Genomic DNA, 8,516 nt, shown 5'->3' with positions numbered 1-8,516 from the left:
GCACTTTAAAAATCTGCCATAGTGTTTGAGGAGCCCTGCTTGCGGTGTTCTCTGGCTTCTCTGCGTTCTCGTGGGAAGCTCTAACACGTGACTGAGCACAGCCCCGGGTATTAGGGCCCGGCCCTTTCTGCCCAATGCACCATCGTCAGCACTCTCTGTGCCAGAGCTCCTGTTGGCCGAGATTTTCTTGGGATTGAACTACAGCCAGTCTCCTCTTACCCCATCCTTTTTCTTCCCTCTGTCCTTCTACAGGTGTCAGACCTACACTGTCTTGTGAAGTCTATTCTCCTGTTTTATCGCCTCCTTTATCTGTCACAGGCATTATCCTGCCCAAAATGGTTTGCTTCCCAGAGGACCCAACTAAAACAGTTTTATATTTTGATTTTCTCATTTACCATTAAGTGGTGAGCATTTCCCAATGGTATTAAAATATTTTCATAAACATTATTTTCATTTTATGGATTTGTTTTACAGATGTATGAGATGTTCCCAACTCTTGCCATTACAAATAATATTATGATGGACATATTTGTTCAGATTCTTTACATGAATTTCAGAATATTTTTTTCAGAATGGATTTCTCAAAGTGTAATTACCAGCTTAAGATTCTTGCTACATTTTGAAAAACAGTTTTTTTTAAAAAAGTACCAACTTATGTTCTAACCAGAAATGTATTCCCTACTCACTGACCTTTTATGTGGTGCCTAAGTATTTGCTCTTAAAAATGCCATTTTAATTAATATCTTCATTGGTAAATCTTTGTTCACATCCCTGATTATCAAGTCCCTCCAGCTCTGTGGGATTTCTTCAGACATGCATAAAACACTGTGCTACCTCTTCCCCACTCCTGCACTATAGCCTCTAAAACAGAATCAGCAGCCCCTCAGAGGTGGCTCTGAGTCTTCTTTACGGGCACCTGATGACAGCAAGCTGGAGAAAGACCTGAATATGCTTCCTTGTCTTCCGCAACTATACAGATGCCAAGGAAACCAAATGTCCCACTGAAAGGAAATGCTTCAGCTATAATACCATCTTCTCATGATGCTATTGAGAGGTGACAGGGTGCTGGCAGCCCTCACAGCCCTCGCTCGGTCTCAGCGCCTCCTCTGCCTGGGCTCCCACTTTGGCGGCACTTGACAAGCCCTTCAGCCCACCGCTGCACTGTGGGAGCCCCTTCCTGGGCTGGCCGAGGCCGGAGCTGGCTCCCTCAGTTTGTGGGGAGGTGTGGAGGGAGAGGCCCGGGCGGAACCCGGGCTGCGGGTGGTGCTTGCTGGCCAGCACAAGTTCCGGGTGGGCGTGGGCTTGGCAGCCCCGCACTCAGAGTGGCTGGCCAACCCTGCCTGCCCTGAGCAATAGGGGGCTTAGCACCCGGGCCAGCGGCTGCGGAGGGTGTGCTGGGTCCCTCAGCAGTGCCAGCCCACGGGTGCTGCGCTCGATTTCTCCCCGGGCCTTAGCTGCCTCCCCGCGGGGCAGGGCTCAGGACCTGCAGCCTGCCATGCCTGAGCCTCCCCCACCCTCTGTGGGTTCCCGTGCGGCCGGAGCCTCCCCAAAGAGCGCCGCCCCCTGCTCCATGGCGCCCAGTCCCATGGACCACCCAAGTGCTGAGGAATGCGGGTGCACTGCATGGGACTGGCAGGCAGCTCCACCTGCGGCCCGGTGGGGGATCCACTGGGTGAAGCCAGCTGGACTCCTGACTGGTGGGGACTTGGAGAACCTTTATGTCTAGCTAAGGGATTGTAAATACAGCAATTGGCACTCTGTATCTAGCTCAAGGTTTGTAAACACACCAATCAGCACCCTGTGTCTATCTCACGGTTTGTGAATGCACCAATCAACACTCTGTATCTAGCTACTCTAGTGGGGACGTGGAGAACCTTTGTGTCTAGCTCAGGGATTGTAAACCCACCAGTCAGCACCCTGTCAAAACAGACCACTTGGGTCTCTGTAAAATGGACCAATCAGCAGGATGTGGGTGGGGCCAGATAAGAGAATAAAAGCAGGCTGCTGGAGCCCGCAGTGGCAACCCGCTCAGGTCCCCTCCCACGCTGTGGAAGCATTGTTCTTTCACTGTTTGCAATAAATCTTGCTGCTGCTCGCTCTTTGGGTCCACACTGCCTTTATGAGCTACAACACTTACCGCCAAGGTCTGCAGCTTCACTCCTGAGCCAGCGAGACCACGAACCCACCAGAAGGAAGAAACTCCGAACACATCCAAACATCAGAAGGAACAAACTCCAGACACGCCGCCTTTAAGAACTGTAACACTGCGAGGGTCCGCGGCTTCATTCTTGAAGTCAGTGAGACCAAGAACCCACCAATTCCGGACACACTACCTTCCACCTTCCATGGAAGATGCAGGAAGCTGTGTGTTTCCCTAGTTTCTATTGCCCAGGAATACTTCTGATAAAACATTAAGAATGTGTTCCTGAATTCTTACCAAAAACGAAACCAAAACTGTAAAAGCACAACTGGTGTAATTCTGTAAGGAGAAATACAATCACCCCAGATGTAATTTAGAAATAACTAGAAGTGATTTGAACAAATTATTTAAATTTTTTATTTCTCCCAAGTAACCACCAGTTGTGAGGAACTTCTTTCGAAGTAGTAATAACAGATGGTACTTATTGAACATTCAGTATCTGCCAAATGCTGTTCTTAGCATTTTATATGTATTGATTCAGTGAATTCTTATAGTAGCCCTGTAAGGCAGAGTTGCTATAGAGATGAGGAAATGGTGGCACAGAGAGGTTAGGTAACATGCTCAAGGTGCTTAGTCCCTCTCCTGAACTGGCATGAAAGGTCTCTTCTGTTTAATTTATAAACAATGATAGAACAAATATTGATAGTTCATAGTGATAAAAATAAATAAACCTTTAGGAAAAGCTCTTCCTTACAGTAGAACCCCAAATAACAAATGTAGAAGAAATGATCAAATAGGAAAAACATCAATATGGAAACTAGTGGGTGAAATTTAAATGAGAAACAGTATATTTACATGGTCCAAAAATATCTCCCCACAAATTAGTTATTAATTATAAAGGGCAAAATAGTAAATTTATAGTGGATAAATCTAATAAATGTCATCTTAACAAAATGATCAATCTTAATATCATAAACATTAGGATAAATTGATATCCTGGGGTTCACAATATAAAGTATTCTGAGGGACACACTATTACTTCCAATATGTTCCCTCCAAAGATACATAATCTGATTTTAATTATTAACCAACATCAGAGAAATACAAAATGTGGGACAATTTGGAACAGAGTTGTAATCTTTACAAATATCTAGATCAAGAAGTCCAAAGAAATGCTGAGGAGCTGTTCAATGAAAAAGGAAATTAAAGAGATTGACAACAAAATGCAACCTGTGATCTTGGATTGAATTCTGAATGAAAAAAAAAAAAGAAATAATCATAAAGGACATTATTAGGATAATTTAAATTTGAGTTAATATGGAATCAATGTCAGATAAAAGTATTCAATGTTTAATTTCCTGATTTTGACAACTTGACTATGGTTTTATAAGAGAATATCCTTATTCTTAGGAAATAATCACTGAAGTATTCAGAGGCAGAGCTTTGCAATATCTGTAACTTTTCTCAAATTGTTCAGAGAGGGAGAAGGAATGATGAAGCAAGTAGGGTGAAAAGCTCATAGGATAACTTATGATTGAATCATTTGCCAAGTTATCCTGTAGATATTAATATAGATATATTTTTTATTTTGTTACTTAAACTTAAAAAATAATTGCTGGGAGTTATATCAAACACAAAATTTGCTTATTCTTAGCTTTGGTTTAGTAATTTCACTTTAGGGACTTATTCTAAGGAAATAATATAAAAGAGGCACAATTTTGTTACAAGGGTATTCATCAAAACTTATATGCAACTGCGGAAAACTGAAAACAACTCACACATCCAATAATAGAGTGTTGTTTTAGGATTATGCAGTCATGGCCGGGTGTGGTGGCTCACACCTGTAATCTCTGCACTTTGGGAGGCCAAGGCAGGCAAATCACGAGGTCAGGAGTTCAAGACCAGCCTGGCCAACATGATGAAACCCTGTCTCTGCTAAAAATACAAAAAATTAGCTGGGCGTAGTGGCGGGCACCTGTAATCCCAGCTACTCAGGAGGCTGAGGCAGGAGAATCACTTGAATTTGGGAGGTGGAGGTTGCAGTGAGCTGAGATCACGCCACTGCACTCCAGCCCGGGCGACAGAGTAAGACTCCATCTCAAAAAATATATATATATTATATACATATATAAAATATATATTATATATGATATATATATAATATAATACATGATATATAAAATATATATTATATATATATCATATATATAATGGAGTGATTAAAATGCTGCAGAATAATATTTAATGGCATGGAAAATGTCATTGTTAAGTGATAAAGACAAGATACACAATGGTACCCACAGAATGACCCCATTACTGTGTATACATACCCACAGTCACACGCATGAAAGATTGCAAAACTATAAATGAAAATGTTCATAGTGGTAATTTTAACATGTAAGGGAAAAAAGGTAACTTAAACTTACTTAACACTACTTTGAAAATTTGCTAAAACAAACTTATTATTTTGTAATTAAAACAAATAATTTTCTGTAGTCTAGCGTATGACTTAAAGAGGTATAAGTAGCCATAAATTTAAATGAAACTGTGAGCTTCTTATTAGATGTGTGCACATATGTAAACACCCACACCTTTATTACATGCTATAACTGGCTTCCAGTGACACAAGATCCTGCTACTGAGGTTGGTGAATGACATTGAAGCCTGACCCCTAAACTTGTCCTTTGGTGGAACGTACACCCAGGAAATCTCTTTTCCATAGTTGTAAACAGATGCATGACTGTTTTAAAGGGCCATGACCTCGTGGATTTGTTTCCTGGGAAAGTATCCCAAGCCTGAAACCAAGTGCTGCACATTCTCAAAAGAAAATGTAATAAGGTTGATTAGAATCTGTGGAAGAGGTGCAGTTCTTATATGCTAAATTTGCATTTTCTCTATGTAAAAGCTTTCAAAATAATTCAATTACTTATTTTATAATTTAATTTCCAAGGTTAATTCCTTACATGTATTTTATGACCTAAATTTTACAGGGTGGGCCTAGATTCAGAAACTCTTTCTGTTACAGTCTTTGTTTTAAGCCTTTTTACAACCTAGGTTGGTGCTAAGGAGGAATGACGAATTGCTATTAGTGTATTAATAATAAACATTGAATTCTTCTATTAACTACCAAAGAATAACAAAGGACCAGAAAACAAACACATACTAACTACTGGAGATTGCCCCCAACCTAACGAATACCACAGTGGAGATTCTCATATTAAGGATAACAAATTGTTACCCCTGAAACGTCAGCTAAGATTTGTATCCATTAGCCCAAAACCTCCTACTCATGATTTCTAAATTATACAACATTATCGACAGGTCCAGGAGACATCGTGTGCATTGCGGAAGAATGAATTTTCAATATAGCTAATGTGTATGTTCTTCAATTCAGATTTCTGTTCCATAGCCCCACCCATGTATAAAAAGGCCCTACCCACTGATAAGGGACATATTCATATTCCCACAGCCAGATTCTCCCACTCTAATCAAGACTGCATCTAATGTAAGCACATGACTCACTCACATTGGTCCCTTTCCTGAAACTCAGGGTGAGAGCCAACTCTCAGCTATCTGTGGTTGGAGTGACAGAGGTGACTGGAAGAAGCGAAAACCACTGGTATTCCCAACTTCCGTTTTAACTGATAATCTTAACCTCCTCCCTGATGTCAACTCTCCTTTACTAAAGATTGTAATGAACACAGAAAGGGCCCAAGAAAAAAGGACAAGGCCTGCTAATTCTAAAACTATATAATCAACAACTGAACAATTGAGGGCTTGTCACTTCCATTTTCTTTCATGGCTAATATTCTAAATAAGTACTCTCTACCAACAGCCGCCACCAACTCCCTTAATCTAGTGCAATTCTGCCTCCACTTTCATCACTCACTAAAAGCACTCTCTTTCAAGCTTCATGACATTCAGAGGTCAAAACCAGGGGCGTTTTTCTTCTTTCCCATTGTTTTCTAGATTTTTTTTTGTTAGACCGTGTTGACTATCACTGTAAATCTTGGATTTTTTTTTCTTTCTTCTGAGTTTCATGCCATTATGTTCTCCTAGATGTCCTGGTTATAACCATCAGCAAATCCTATTGATTTAAGTATAGTCTACTTATACTCCTAATTCAACACTTTCTCATTACTTCCACTACTGCTATCTTTCCCCTAACCATTTAGGTGGGTTATTAAAATACTCCCCACCTTATCTTTCAGTCTTGTCCTTTTTAGTCTACTTTCGGCAGAGCAGATAGACTGATCTTTTTGAATTATTTCATCACCCTACCTCCAGCCCTCTGATAGTTTCTTTTATTTATTTATTTATTTATTTATTTTGATTATACTTTAAGTTTTAGGGTACATGTGCACAACGTGCAGGTTTGTTACATATGTATACATGTGCCATGTTGGTGTGCTGCACCCATTAACTCGTCATTTAGCATTAGGTATATCTCCTAACGCTATCCCTCCCCCCTCCCCCCATCCCACAACAGTCCCCGGTGTGTGATGTTCCCCTTCCTGTGTTCATGTGTTCTCATTGTTCAATTCCCACCTATGTTCTTATTGCATTGTTAAGAAAAGGCAAAGACCTTACCAAATCTTATAGCCCCTAAAGTTTCTACCCTTGACTACCTCTCTGACTTCTCTTGCAACTGTCCATTGAGTATGCCCTGGGCCAGGCTGGTCTTACTGTCTTCTGAACATTAGAGTCCTTGCATTTATTGCTCCAAGCCAAGGATAGTTTGCCTCCACAAACTGTAGGGATGCCTCCTTGACCACCCTAGCTAAAGACACCCTGAAATTGTAGCATGTTATGTTTTACTACCTTATTTTATCACTAACCATGAGACCTTGGACATGTTACCCTGTGTCTCAATTTCCCCATCTGAAAAATGCATTTTAAATAAATAGTTACATACCTCATCAAGTGGTTAGAAGGATTTCATAAGTTATTGTATTTGAAAAGCTTAACAACAAATAGCCCTATACACGTTTGCAACTGTTGTTGTTATTAGTATTTATTTTCTTTCTTTTCCTGCTAGAATATAAATTTCAAGTTTTGTTTGTCATTTATCACTTATTCTCAAGATGTAAACAGTAAGACACATAATAAGCCCTCAATAAGTATTTGAATGATTGAATGAAGAAATTAAACGTTTAATTATTTGTTTTGTCTGCAAAATCTTCTTTTCTTTTACCCATTCCTTAGATAAAGTTTCTTTTATCACTTTACTGAGACTCAGTCACTGGTTTTCTTGGCATTTTTCCTCTACCCTCATACCTTTGGAGTGTTTAACTTGAAGTGATTCTTTGGCTTCAGCCATGGTTTCTGTGATGGGGGTTCTCAACATCACAGCTTTAGTCCAGACCGCATACCCAACTTCTGCATTGGGGGTTCATCTAAGGGGAGGGAAATTTGGCCTGGGGCTTAGAGGCTGCACTAGGATAGTGTATGAGTTCTGTGACTTTACTTGCTTTGTGATCTGGTGCAAATCACAACTTCTCTGGAGACCATATTCTTTTTTAGGTAATAATTATGAATCTTACCTTCTATATCAAAGTGTGTGTCGAAACAGATTTAATAGATGTGAAAGTATTTTGTAAATTGTAAAACAGTAAGTAATTTTGAAGTGTTGTCAGGTACCTCAAATATGCTATTTCTACTATATACCCTGCTGTTATCTTAGAGTCAACATATGGAAACCATTTTTCCTCCTTCCTAAACTCAATTCTTTCCAACTTTGCTTTCTCTCATTTCTCATATCCAATTACTAAACACCTGATTTTCCCTCTGTGACATATCTAAAATGCTCCTCCTGCTCTGTTCTCCCAGACATAATCCTAGTCTCAACTTTCTTCAGTTTACATCTAGGTCATTACAACACTCCATTAGTAGGTCTCTCTGCCTCCTGCCTCTCTCAAGTAGTGTTCTCAAATAATCTCATTTCAATCTTTCCAAAAAATTAACCATATTAGATTTCTTTTAATATCAACAAACTGCTATGATTTCAGTGACTTAAAACAATAGAATTTATTATCTTACAATTCAGAAGTCTAATAGATACCTGGGCTAAAGGAAGGTGTTGACACTGGGTGAAAATCGAGGTGTTGGCAGGGCTACATTCTGTTCTGAATAATATAGGGGAGAGTCTATTTTCTTGTCTTTACAAACTTTCATAGGCCACCAGTGTTTCTTGGCTTGGAACCCTCTTCCTTTGTCAGCAACTGTGAGTCAGGTCCTTCCTTTTCACATCACATCTCTCTGATGACAACTTGGAATGACTCTGTACTTTTGAGAACTCATGTGATTAGATTGGGCCTACCCATTTAATCCACAATCACCTCCTCATCTCAAGATCTGTAACCTTAATCATCAGTCA

Source organism: Homo sapiens, chromosome 4, assembly GCF_000001405.40.
Source record: "Homo sapiens chromosome 4, GRCh38.p14 Primary Assembly".
In the NCBI taxonomy this organism is placed as follows: domain Eukaryota; kingdom Metazoa; phylum Chordata; class Mammalia; order Primates; family Hominidae; genus Homo; species Homo sapiens.
This window is presented reverse-complemented; position numbering follows the sequence as displayed.